The sequence below is a fragment of the Homo sapiens genome, chromosome 7 (assembly GCF_000001405.40).
Source record: "Homo sapiens chromosome 7, GRCh38.p14 Primary Assembly".
In the NCBI taxonomy this organism is placed as follows: domain Eukaryota; kingdom Metazoa; phylum Chordata; class Mammalia; order Primates; family Hominidae; genus Homo; species Homo sapiens.
Genome location: NC_000007.14, coordinates 122,699,863 through 122,714,452, shown reverse-complemented (window position 1 = coordinate 122,714,452; position 14,590 = coordinate 122,699,863). Strand labels below are relative to the sequence as shown.

The 14,590-nt window shown below is 34.0% G+C and overlaps 2 protein-coding genes and 1 long non-coding RNA gene across 33 annotated transcripts in view; 2 read left to right on the top strand and 1 right to left on the bottom strand.

Annotated features, from left to right (window-relative positions):
* Positions 1 to 11,361, bottom strand: part of LOC124901738 (uncharacterized) — a 44,981-nt gene extending 33,620 nt beyond the window's left edge. The window contains exons 1-3 of one of the 4 annotated variants that reach the window (XR_007060505.1): positions 9,997 to 10,132; positions 7,375 to 7,557; positions 4,865 to 5,338 (exon numbers count right to left, since the gene is read on the bottom strand). This is a non-coding gene — a long non-coding RNA (uncharacterized LOC124901738). Of the gene's footprint in view, positions 1 to 4,864; positions 5,339 to 7,374; positions 7,558 to 9,996; positions 10,133 to 11,306 lie in introns of those variants that run through there. The other 3 variants (XR_007060502.1, XR_007060504.1, XR_007060503.1) reach the window with 3 other exon arrangements.
* Positions 1 to 14,590, top strand: part of CADPS2 (calcium dependent secretion activator 2) — a 568,050-nt gene that overhangs the window by 172,008 nt on the left and 381,452 nt on the right. The gene's annotated exons all lie outside the window — the stretch shown is intronic.
* Positions 11,531 to 12,785, top strand: RNF148 (ring finger protein 148). The gene has a single exon (NM_198085.2). It carries the CDS (start codon positions 11,703 to 11,705, stop codon positions 12,618 to 12,620), a length of 918 nt encoding a protein of 305 aa, NP_932351.1. The 5' UTR covers positions 11,531 to 11,702; the 3' UTR covers positions 12,621 to 12,785.

Below are 14,590 nucleotides of genomic sequence, written 5' to 3'. Positions count from 1 at the left end.
GTTGTTTACCAAAGATTTTAAAATGGAAATGTAAGTAAAATGAGACATAGGAAATCAAGCTAAATACTAAAGACAGCTAGAAACAATCTGAAAGTTGTAGATTTGATAGAAACAGTGAATACTATGTCCACTTTGTATTCTTGTAGGTATAGACTGCTACTTACATGTATTTTCAGATTAACCATGTCGTTTTGCTTCTCGATTTTTATGGAATATCGTTTACTTTTCCCACCTGAGTAATCTGTTAGTATAACCTTACCAAATAAATAGAAACTACTAGAACAATAATAATTTACCTCTAGGTCTTGCTAGAACTAGTTGTTTAAGTGGATTATACAAACATTTGCTTTCTGTCATGGTAACCTCCTCTTTTCCCTAAATCTCAAACTAAATTTGAATCATTGGTGACATGAATGTTCTTCTTGAAGTTTGACATGGATTATGAATGTAATAATTAGTTGGAGAAACCAGGCTCTTTGTCAACATATTGAAAAATATTGTGCCAGCAGAGCTAATGAAAAGCTTTACTTCTTTGTTTTACTTTTGTTTTTATGGGTGGTCTGTGGATGTGAGGGAACAAAAAAGACCTTTTTGTTTTTTAAAGTTGGCCTGTACATTATAACTATAAAATGTATAATAAGTAAGTTCTATCACTGTTTTCATGCATCTTCTATGAATCATGAAATATTTTATCCCTAATGTGCATTCAAATACTAGCTGCTTAGCTGGAGGTGTTACTAGGTATTTGTGTAAAGAGATCACTTGTCTTCAAGAATATATGTTATATATGGAAAAGTGATACTTATCACTTTTTTTTTTCTTTACCAATATTTTATGTCAAAATAGAAACTTCCTTACAATTGTTAAGATTGAAAAAAATGGTTACAGATCATGGCATCATCTTTAGTAAATTGGGTGAATAAGACAATGATTTAAATATGATGGGTGCTGGCAGTGAACACACATCAGTTTGTGTATGAGCCAAGTAGTGCTCTAAGTGCTTTAAAGACTGTGCATTGTTTCTTTTAATCCTCATGGGAGTCCCAAAAATTTGGTACTAATGTTATCTCTCTTTTACAGGTAAGGGAACTAAGGCACATGAGTTTAGATAGGTTGCCTAAGTTGTAGAGCTAGTGTTAAGTACAGGATTTAAACTCAGGCAGTCTGGCTTAAAAATTAATTAAACTTGCAAAATTCAACAATTGCTATTCCTGGTAAAACTAACGAGACTTAAGACTGTGAAAATTATATAAAACAAAGCTTTGTTTTTAAATATAAAAATTTAAAGCTCCATCAGATCTGAATGAAGGAAACTTTGTGAACAGATATGCTGTATGGGCTGCTTTGTTTTTCATTGTATGAAATATCCTAAGGAAAGTGATAACTTAGGATATCAGAACTATATAATGATTAAACTGTCCTACCTTGGGGACAGGATTTATTTTTGTGTGTGCCGTAACCTGAATGTTTGTGTTCCCCTTGAGATGTTGAAATCTTGACCCCCAAGGTGATGGTATTAGGAGGTGGGGACTTTGGGAGGTGATTAGCTCATGGGAGCAGAGCCCACATGAGTAGAATTAGTGTTCTTATAAAAGAGGCTTGAGAGAGACCCCCTTACTCTTTCCACAATGTAAGAACACAGCGAAAAGGTGCTTTCTATTAACCAGAAAGCAAGCCCTCATGAGACACCAAATCTACTTAATCCTGGACTTCTCGGCCTCCAGAACTGTGCAAAAATAAATTTCTACTGCTTATAAGCTACCCAGTTTATGGTAATTTGTTATAACAGCCCAAACAGACTAAGATACTGTGCTTCTCTGGTCCTTCCTTCATACCTTATTTAGCGTATTATCATATCAGAAAGTCAGTTCCTTGGAAAAAATATAACCATGACCTCATCTTTGAATCCCTGGGTACACAAAAGAGTCATTAGGACAGGAGATTGTTCCTTTTTGATCAGTGCTGTAGCCCTAAAATTGTGTGCACTTACTATTAAGTACTATGCACATAGTAGGGTCTTGATAAATATTCGAATGAGTGAAATAATCAATAATGTAGACATTTTGAATAGATGGTTCTTAGATTGTGCTTCTAGAGGGAATATGAAAAACAACTAAGGCATGGCAGGTCCTTAGTCATGCCAGAGAAGCACCTTTGTTATATCAAATCAAATAAGAAATTGATACAAATCAGTGCACTGGGTCCTGTAGGAAGATGAAGGAGCATAGCGAAGTCCTGCCCTCGAAAATCTTATAATTTGAGAGGTAAAGATGACAACCTTTGTAAGAGGGGGAAAAAGTAACATTGTTTTCAACACTAGAAGAAAAATATCACAAGATATTATAGAAATAATTTCCTAAGAAAGGATGTAGAGTATGAAGAAAATAGTGCTTATTGCTTAAAAGATACAAGAGTGTTTTTTTTTAAATTTAAAAATGTACATGTATGCTGTATGTACTGTTTTAACTGCAAAATATGTTTAAATACAAAAATAAAAAACATGGCTGGACGTGGTGGCTCACACCTGTAATCCCAGCACTTTGAGAGGCTGAGGCAGGTGGATCACAAGGTCAGGAGTTCGAGACCAGCCTGACCAACATGGTGAAACCCCGTCTCTACTAAAAATACAAAAATTAGCCGGGTGTGGTGGCACGTGCCTGTAATCCCAGCTATTCAGGGGGCTGAGGCAGGAGAATCGCTTGAACCCTGGAGGCAGAGGTTGCAGTGAGCCAAGATCACGCTACTGTACTCCATCCTGGGTGACAGAGAGAGACTCTGTCTAAAAAAAGAAAAAAAATGTAAAACATATATTGTGACAGTTCATAGGAAAAAGAACTCACTTTGCACTGAATTAATCAGGGAAGCTTTGTGGGGACTGCAGGATTCAACTGTCACTTGGGGTAGAAATAGAAGGCATTCTGGATTGGAGAAAAAGTTGGTTGCAATTAGAAATTTTTTCTTTTAACTATTACTCCTGATGTAATGTTAGAGTTTTCTCTGAGGTACCATGGTATACATAATTGGTATAGTTTTCTCTTAATAATGACTCTTTGGGGCTCATGACCTGATATATAGTTGTAGATCTATATTTAAATATCTTGAGAGATATAGCTATATATTCATTTACATAAAAATAATTAAAGGAGAATTTTTATCCCTGTAAAGGCTGCTGCTTATATGTTAGAAATGGTTATTACTTTATGGCTGCATATTATTCCATATTTAGTCCATTTTTCAGATACAGAGATGTAGATGAAATTTATTCTCGACTTTTGGAGAGAAAATGTAAGACAGATGGCCTCTGATCCTGTGATATTAAATAAGCCTTTTTCTGGACAACTGTTGTCAATGTAATTCTTAACTGAGGGAAGACTTGTCAAATCATTGCCTGTTCTCTTTCTTTAAAAAAGTGAGTAGTTGTATAAAGCATAGATTATAAAAGCTCCAGATATGTCTTAATATTTTGAAGAGAAAGTACTTGAAAATCAACATTTTGTCAGGGACCTTGAGCAAGTTTTATTGTGCTAGTGTAGAGACAGAAGGGAGAAAACAGGATTTTTAAAAAATGAATCAGATAAGACCACTGCTCACAAGATATTCTAAACCAAGTGAAAGTATAGACAGACATATATGCCTCTAATTATATATAATATAAGGCAAAATTAAATGACTGCCAAATAGGTACAAAAATAATGTGTCATAGGAACAGGTGGTTTTGGCTAGGGAGATCACAAATGGGAGATTGAAATGGGTCTGTAAAGATGATGGGAATTTTATTAGCTGGAAAATGGAAGAAAAAGTTTTTCAGGATTGAGAAGAGGAAGGAAGGCCCATTTATTGAATACCTACCAAGCTAAGCTAGCAGTGTGCTTGGCGATTTACAAACAGAAGTGAAATATGTCATCCAATACTCATCAAGGCCCTAGAGGCAGACTTTACTTTTCCAGACTACAGATGAGAAAGCTGAGGCTCAATGTGGCTCAGCTTAAATGGCTAGCATGTAGCAGAAACTGGATTTCACTACATGACACATCTGTCACACGGCCTGGTGCTTTAATACACTGTTCACTGTTTCTGCTAGTGTGATGTCTCTATGCTCATGTTGTTGTCATCGTTTTTCTCTGCTCCTTCACGGGAGGGATTAAATTATATAACAAATAAGAAAGGGTTTTGTGATCTGTGAATTGGAAAAACGTAAGGAGAAAATCTCCTTAATCACCTCTGCCCTGTTATTTCTGACTGCTGGGAACTCACTCAGAGTTAACCACAGACTCACTCAGAGTTAACCATCATAGGACTTGTATTAGGAAGGCAATGCATATGCAAACTTTCAATGACTGATTGTGGCTTAGGAAGATTTTTTTTTTTTTGGGTTGGCAGAAGGTCATTTTTTTTTTTTTTTTATTATACTTTAAGTTTTAGGGTACGTGTGCACAATGTGCAGGTTAGTTACATATGTGCCATGCTGGTGTGCTGCACCCATTAACTCGTCATTTAGCATTAGGTATATCTCCTAATGCTATCCCTTCCCTCTCCCCCAACCCCACAACAGTCCCCAGAGTGTGATGTTCCCCTTCCTGTGTCCATGTGTTCTCATTGTTCAATTCCCATCTATGAGTGAGAACATGTGGTGTTTGGTTTTTTGTCCTTGCGATAGTTTACTGAGAATGATGATTTCCAATTTCATCCATGTCCCTACAAAGGACGTGAACTCATCATTTTTTATGGCTGCATAGTGTTCCATGGTGTATATATGCCATATTTTCTTACTCCAGTCTATCATTGTTGGACATTTGGGTTGGTTCCAAGTCTTTGCTATTGTGAATAGTGCCGCAATAAACATACGTGTGCATGTGTCTTTATAGCAGCATGATTTATAGTCCTTTGGGTATATACCCAGTAATGGGATGGCTGGGTCAAATGGTATTTCTAGTTCTAGATCCCTGAGGAATCGCTGCACTGGCTTCCACAATGGTTGAACTAGTTTACAGTCCCACCAACAGTGTAAAAGTGTTCCTATTTCTCCACATCCTCTCCAGCACCTGTTGTTTCCTGACTTTTTAATGATTGCCATTCTAACTGGTGTAAGATGGTATCTCATTGTGGTTTTGATTTGCATTTCTCTGATGGCCAGTGATGATGAGCATTTTTTCATGTGTCTTTTGGCTGCATAAATGTCTTCTTTTGAGAAGTGTCTGTTCATATCCTTGTGGCTTAGGAAGATTTAGAGTCTGTTTTAAGCTTTAGGACAATCTTGAAATGATGGAGTCCCAGAAGCAGCCTGCAGAACCTTTTGGTCCTCATCCTTGGATCTTAATAATGAGAAGGGCAGAGTAGCCTATTAAGAGAACAGGACAATTGCTGGTGGTGATTTAAAGGAATCTGCTTGGTATATTTTTCCTCTTTTGAGTATATTGCCTATTCACCACTGCCTCAAACAAAAATCCAGTCTAAATGGTTGAGTTAATATGAAGATACATTTTGTTCCGAGCTCAAAGATAATAATTATACTACGGCCAAATATTGTCTTAATCTTGTGTTTACTTAAGACTATTTACCTCTTCCTTCTGCCTCCTAGTGCAAAGACTACAATGTGAATTTTTCCCCCCGTTACTTCCCAGAGTAGTAATAATGAGTTCCTACTCTGATTACCATTCTATCTTCTAAATCGGTAGACTGAATAAGGAAAAAATTGTTTTCAATTTATTGTTAAAGTTATGTAGACCATGACTTGAATTCTGAATGAAGAAGAGAGTTTAATTTAGTTTATTTATGCCCATTACAATTTAAATGGATTTGATCATATTCCAAATGCTCATTTATCTTTGTATTAAGGTATGGCTAAGGAATCAAGTTTTATGATTGCTAAGAGCAAGGAAGATATATATATATATATATATATATATATATATATATATATATATATATATATCTCGAATACAATATGTTTGGATCTACATATCCAATATATATATATATATATATATATATCCACACACATATATATATACACACACATATTGTGTGTACATATATAGAATCAGTTGAACTCATTATGAATATTCTAACTATCCTATACTCTTACTGAAATGATCACCTTTCTGAAGATAAAACTCAGTAGATACAATTTTGCATAAGGAATATTACTGGATAGAATACAGAGGATAATGACGCTATCAATTTAATTCAACTTTTATTGAGAACCTATGATGTGGTAGATATTGTCCTAGAAGCTGGGTATTAAAAAGATGAGAATAAGATTTAATCCTGTCCTTCAAGGAGATTAATAGAATAGTTAATTTTGTAGAGGGAATTATATCAGGATTTTTTCTAAATGGGTAGATTATAGCAGCACTTGCAACAGGAGGACAAATGGATAACTATATGAGATGACAGATATGGTCATTTGTTCCATTATAGCAACCATTTTACTATATATGTGTACCTTACAGCATCATGTTATACACATTAAATATACACAACAAAATTTACTTAAAATATATATATAGAAATAAGAATTATAGTTGCCACAATCCAGAAATGCCTTTATATAAACTAGTTTTGTTACATGAAACTATGAAGTTTTTTTAACCAGTAATATATTAGCTGTAATTAGAGGAGATGCTTGCAAATAATAACATATATATATATATAAGAAAACATTAAAAATTGTAAAAGTAAAGATTCTGCTTTCAGAAAAATATTATCATTAGTACTCTTTGCTTTTGTGCTGCTCTCAGTGAGGTACTTTAGAGTCAATATTCTGTTTTCCTCAGATCTCGTTATGATTCATTTAATTTCTTGCAAAAAAAACATACATAGTTGTAGTGTTTGAGCCTAAATGCAAAATAAATGTTTTTTGAATTCCTAGAGAGCTCTCATGATATTATAGCTCTGGATACTGACACTTGTGAGGTAGTTTATTGGTTTTCCTTTCATCTTAAAGATGCTATCTGAGCAGTGCAATGTGATTGTATTTATCTGTTTTGCTTTATTGGAGTAGAGATTTCTGGAAGTGTGAGCACTCTTACCCATAGAGATCAAAGAATAGCAGAGGGGTAGAGGTCAGTTAGTTGATTTTTTCTCTCTTAATAATAGTTATAACCTTCTAAAAAATTTAATTGGCGCCTGGAAGTTATAGGATACATGCATATATACATCCAACTTGCATGTAACTCTTTTATTCTGCCTAGATGATGCCCTCCTTAAGGTCAGAGCCATGTTGTGTCCCCATTAACAGAGACTCTGGCTCATGTCAGTGCCTTGTGTACAGTGCATATTACATGTTTGTTGCGGTTAATGGTTAAGTATTATTCCTTTGGGGATACTTCAGGAATTTAGAGCCTGTAACTGCCATTGTGCCTGCCTGCTTACCTTCTGGTTCATGTCTTTCCCCTTAGTAACACAGCATTCAAATCTTCACCCTTCCTCTGGCCATGTGCTCAGCCAGGGAAAGAGCTCTCTACAACAGGATAAATCATGATTAACCTAAGATAATCATGATGATTCCACTCCGGTTTCCAAGGATTTCATTAGGCATGGGTTTGTGAAGCAATTCTAGCCAAAGAGACATTGAGGGAAGTCTGGTAAGTTTCTGGAAAAAAAAAATGTGTGTGTGTGTGTACATACATATATATATATGTGTGTGTGTGTATATATATATGTATGTACACACACACACATACATTTTATATATATATATATTCCTTGCTCTTATATAAGTATATATACATATATATGAGCAAGGAATATGTATATATAAAAGAATATATATATGTATGTTCTACCTATCTCTTGTTAAGAGCATGTAACTATATATATATACACACACACACAACCTATCTCTTAAGTGTGTGTGATATATATATATATACATATTCGCTGTTAACAAGAGTTAGGTAGAATGACTTTTTGAACCAGTTGAACCAACCCTAGTAATATGTTTCAGTTCTCTTTAGCCTGCCTACAAAAGGAATATATAAACATATATATATTCCTTGAATATATAAGCATATATATATATTCCTTGAATATATAAGCATATATATATATTCCTTGAATATATAAGCATATATATATATTCCTTGAATATATAAGCATATATATATATTCCTTGAATATATAAGCATATATATATATTCCTTGAATATATAAGCATATATATATTCCTTGAATATATAAACATATATATATTCCTTGAATATATAAGCATATATGTATTCCTTGAATATATAAGCATATATGTATTCCTTGAATATATAAGCATATATATGTATTCCTTGAATATATAAGCATATATATATTCCTTGAATATATAAGCATATATATATATTCCTTGAATATATAAGCATATATATATATTCCTTGAATATATAAACATATATATATTCCTTGAATATATAAATCCTTGAATATATAATATATATTTATATAATATATAATATATATAAATATTATATAATATATAATATTATATATTATATTATATTATATATATATTATATATTATATTATATAATATATTATATATTATATTATATAATATATTATATATTATATTATATTTATTATATTATATTATATATAATATGTATAATATGTTATATAATATATATTATATATAAATATATATTATTATATATCATATATATTATATTATATATGATATATATTATATAATATATCATATATTATATATTATATATATTATATATTATATAATATATGATATATTATATAATATATGATATATTATATATAATATGTGATATATTATATAATATATTATATATGAGATATATTATATAATATATTATATATCATATATAATATATATAAATGTTATATAATATATAAAATATATTATATAATATATAATATAGATAATATATAATATAAATATATATAATATATAATATAGATAATACACAATATAAATATAGATAATATATAATATAGATAATATATAATATAAATATATATAATATATAATATAGATAATATATAATATTATATTACATATTATATATTATCTCTACTAATATATTTCAATTCTCTGTAACCTACCTGCAAAATTCAACAGAATGAAAAACTCTTCAATATTTGGCTGTTAGAAAGAATGTCCATGTATTGAATAAATGATCTAAAAGGAACAGATTACAGTAGCCTCAATCATCCAGTCTCTCTCTCTGTCTCCCAGTCACATGCGGTTCCAGGAAGACTCTTAGACCTCATTCTGATAAAATATATGCAATTTGTCATGATACTTAATGGACTAAAAGGTAACTTGTACAGATCTCTCCTGTTTCTATTCCAGGGAAAACTAGAGAAATTAAGTTGCATTGAGGGCCTCATCCTTGATGGAAGCATTGTCAATTATAAAAGCTTATTTTGTGTCGAGAATTTATACCTGACCACCCATCGGGGTTGGGAGAGTTTTGGGATGCTTCTCTCCTCAGGCTGTTTCATTAGATTAGGGTTTCTTAACCTTACTATTGATATTTTGGACCACATAATTTCTTATTATGTGGAGCTACTATGTGCATTTTCAGATGTTTTAGTGGCAACGCTGGTGTGTACTCGCTAGATGCTGGTAGCACTCTCTAATTGTGACAATCAAAAAATGTCTGCAGAAGCAGCCAGATGTCCCCTGAGAGGCAAAATTGCCCCCAAGTTGAAAACCACTTTTTAAGAGATAGATGATTGTTTCTTATAGGTCTATTTTGTTGTAAGACGAGGGCAGAAGAGAGGGCAGTTCTATCATTGCCTTAACCACTTTATATTATAATGAGAAAAATAGAATGAATGAGCTAAGTTCCTCAAATTGGTCCTTTCAACCATACAGAGAACCTTTTGATGTGAGATATGTTTTGAAGCAAAATATAGTTACAGGTTAAACACTTCACCCACAAAAAATCTGCAAAATAAAAAGTCAGAGTTATATTATTTTGTAATCCTACTTCCAAAGGTTAAATAATCACAGATTTAACAAATTACCTCTAATATGATGATGTTAAACCGTCTTCTTAATGAGGCTTCAATTTGTCACTGTTAATAGAATCAGCCAGGAATTCACTCCATTTGAACATGAAAAAAAAAAAGTCTACCTGTAAGGACAGTTCAGGTGTTACCTGAATCATGCTTCAACAGAATTGCATGAATGGGACAAGTAGACTGTTTCCTAGAGTTTTTTTTTAAAAAAGCAAATATTAACTAAAATACAGGGAATACTAACAAATATTAACTAAAATAGGCCAGGGAATACAATAAATGCTTTTGTCCAAATGAGAAAACTCTATCATGTCTATGATTAAATGTTCATGTCCATTTTTCACACTAGGAAATAAGGTCTTTTCTTTTTCTATCCCTAGGACTTTGTGGCATGCTGAGCACATAGAAGATAACCTATACATGATAGAAAATAAATTTTTGAGTGGGTGTTGCCAATTTATTGGCTCCTTGAAACAGACTTTAGATAAAGATTTAAGATAAAACTAAACAATAAGGCATCTTTAAAGCCGTAAAGATTCTGTAATTTGCAAAAATCATGTAGTGATTTTTTATCATTGTGGCCATCCTTTCCTCTTCCCACTACTGTCCTTCCAGTTACTAAATCTGTTATTCAGCCTTTGTCTGTGTCTCTACATCTATGCTGCTACTTTGAGTCCAAGCCACTATCTTCTTTTGCCTAAGCTCATTCTCTTGTTATTCTCCCTCTCCAATACATTTTCCCCATAAAGCAACCAAAGTGAACATTTTGAAACACATTTGTCACCTCCCTGGCTTAGAACCCTACAGTGTGTTTCTCTTGTCCTTGGGACATCATCCAAAATCCTTAGCCTCTACAAGAGTAGGGCCGTCTCTATTTTCTTCTCCAATATATGTCCACTCTCAGTATTTGCCAGCACATAGTAGGTTCTTACCAGAAGATGGGACTGTATTAGGCTAACAATAAGAGTTTACACTGTTTTCTTAGTGTTGGATCTTTAGGTGTGGGATAGGCATTTAATGTGGGAAGTGGGTGGGAATGGTTTGCTCCTACTTCCCACAGAATGCCATACTGGGTAGTGTTGAACCATCCCACAGAATGCCATATTCGGTAGTGTTGAACCATCCCACAGAATGCCATATTGGGTAGTGTTGAACCATGCATGAAAACTGGCAACTGGCCCAGGTACATGCACTAATACATGAATTATTTTTATCTTTGCCTTTGCCTTACAGCTAGAAAAAACATTATATGGCTGGGTAGATTTTCAGTCTCTCCAGAACTAAGGAAGAAACCCAAGGCTTTAAAAAATTCTTACCAGTTTATTTATTGCTTTACAGCCTATTCAAATTGTTATGTATCTTGACTCATTGCTTAGCTTTTTGGCCAATAGGATTTCAGGATGCAATGCACTAATATAAACTCTTGGATTGGTTTAACTACCTCTGATGTCATAATTTCCCCATTTGGATGTCATAATTTTCTTGAAATCACATGGTACCAATCACAAGTCTTGTTATTTTGTTTCATTATGAGAAAGATAATCTACTAAATATTAAAATACTGGAAGGAGCAAGATAGCTTTGATCCAGGGAGACCTTTTCCATTTATGTGCTTTAGTAATCTGCCGCCAACAAGCTATCTTCTTTATGTTCTTCTACAACTGATGTTGTTTTGTTTTCTCATGTTTGTCTCTTAATAGACAAATGGAGGCATGAGCTTCCTTAGAATTACCCCTTCGACGCATAGTTCTGTTTCATCTGGACTTTTGAGGCTTAGTATCTTTCTACTACTTAGCTTTCCTGACTCAAACGGAAAAGCCATTTGGACAGCTCACCTGAATATAACATTTCAGGTTGGAAATGAGATCACATCGGAATTAGGAGAGAGTGGAGTGTTCGGGAATCATTCTCCTCTGGAAAGGGTGTCTGGTGTGGTGGCACTTCCTGAAGGATGGAATCAGAATGCCTGTCATCCTTTGACCAATTTCAGCAGGCCCAAACAGGCAGACTCATGGCTGGCCCTCATCGAACGTGGAGGCTGTACTTTTACACATAAAATCAACGTGGCAGCAGAGAAGGGAGCAAATGGGGTGATCATCTACAACTATCAAGGTACGGGCAGTAAAGTATTTCCCATGTCTCACCAGGGGACGGAAAATATAGTCGCGGTGATGATAAGCAACCTGAAAGGCATGGAAATTTTGCACTCGATTCAGAAAGGAGTCTATGTGACAGTCATCATTGAAGTGGGGAGAATGCACATGCAGTGGGTGAGCCATTACATCATGTATCTATTTACCTTCCTGGCTGCCACAATTGCCTACTTTTACTTAGATTGCGTCTGGAGACTTACACCTAGAGTGCCCAATTCTTTCACCAGGAGGCGAAGTCAAATAAAGACAGATGTGAAGAAAGCTATTGACCAGCTTCAACTGCGAGTTCTCAAAGAAGGGGATGAGGAATTAGACCTAAATGAAGACAACTGTGTTGTTTGCTTTGACACATACAAACCCCAAGATGTAGTACGCATTTTAACTTGCAAACATTTTTTCCATAAGGCATGCATTGACCCCTGGCTTTTAGCCCATAGGACATGTCCCATGTGCAAGTGTGACATCCTGAAAACTTAAGAAATCTGGAGAATTTTCTGAAGATGTAACCAGATCTTTCCAAATACAAAGATTAGATAAATTGTCTTATTGTACTTTATGTAGAGAGAAAATTTCAGCTTCTCTACCCAAGTATGAACAAGGGTGAAATTTGTGTTTTAAAAATAAAACTCCTTATCATGCCCAGCTATTTGAACTTCTTGTCTTTCTAATCAGTTTTAATTGTTTTTTTAGGTGAATTTTATTTTATTTATTTATTTTTTATTATACTTTAAGTTTTAGGGTACATGGGCACAACGTGCAGGTTAGTTACATATGTATACATGTGCCATGTTGGTGTGCTGCACCCAGTAACTCGTCATTTAACATTAGGTATATCTCCAAATGCTATCCCTCCCCGCTTCCCCCACCCCACAACAGGCCCCGGTGTGTGACGTTCCCCTTCCTGTGTCCATGTGTTCTCATTGTTCAATTCCCACCTATGAGTGAGAACATGCGGTGTTTGGTTTTTTGTCCTTGCGATAGTTCGCTGAGAATGATGGTTTCCAGCTTCATCCATGTCCCTACAAAGGACATGAACTCATCCATTTTTATGGCTGCATAGTATTCCATGGTGTATATGTGCCACATTTTCTTAATCGTATCCCTTTTTGCCCTTATCCAAATAAGAACATTAGTATATGTTAAAAACAAATTTTTTTTTCTTCAAGTTACTAGGATTGTGACATTGCCATAGAGAATTAGCCATGCTATTTTAAAGTTTCCTTTTTTAATACTAATTCTTGTACTTTGTTTCCACATTTTGACTAATTTTGGTATCTAATAATTTATATCTCTGATTCTCCATGGTTAATTAATTTTATTAATACCCAGGAAATCTAGTTTCCAAAGCTACTCACTGGATTGGTAATGTGTTCTAAATAATTATTTTAGATGATAGTACTTTGGATATGTAAGGAAAAGTGTTCTAAATTATTATAGGCTTCATTTAGGATAACATTGCAAACATTCACTTTTGTTTGCCAGAGCTCTTTAAATCCTAGCATAGTGACTCAGCTATGGTAGCAGATTTCTTTTCTAGAAGTGTCCTTAGTAAATGCTTCTCTTTTCCTCTCCAAATGGTAATGAATGTTTCTCTGGGGGCATTTTGATAACATAGGGCAGAGCTAAAATTTTGTTCAATTGCCTTTCGATGTTATATTCTTTGCCTTATTTTGCATCTTCCTTTTTTCTAGTAGATGAATAAACACCTATATAACAATGAGAGACAGAAAGATTTAGGTATTGTTGTATTGATGAAAATTTCTGTTTCTGGATGATATGCTAAACTTTTGATACCTCAGTGTCACTTTGTGAATATACACACCATATACTACCTTTTAAAATGTGCAGGGATGTATGAAAATAAAATCGGATTAATGGCCTTTGGGAGAGAAAATCAACCTTTATGGGTATGTTTTATATCATCAGTATTCTTTTTATACTAGTTTTTGTTGGCCCATAGGGCCCTTTGTTCCTTCATCTTTCTTGTCTCAAATTACCATGTTGTAGATTTACATTTCATAAGAAGTAACAGCTCCTTTAGTCCTGGTGAGTTCCAACCAAAAGTGACTTCTAGCACTTTACGTATGTAGACCAGAGACATTCATGTTCAAGGTCAGAATCTTTGGCCTCGGTTTCCTAGCTGGTGGGAAAAAACCCACTGAGATTCACCGCCAAGAAAGTGTACCAGTAGCAGCGTGGCTGCTTGTGAACTTACTATGCTTGTGAGTCCACATGCCATCCTTTAGCTTTGATGTCATATTGTGCCACTGACATGATTGTGGCAAAAACATAGGCAGAGTGGACAGAGCCTGTGGAATCTTCTAATAGGGATATTTGTTAAGTTCTGCAAAAATGTTTGATAAAAGCATCTACTTATTGCTGCTAATGGTTAACTTTAAGTGTGCACCTTGAAGTTTTTCTTAATAGCTGTTTTTTAAAAAATGAAT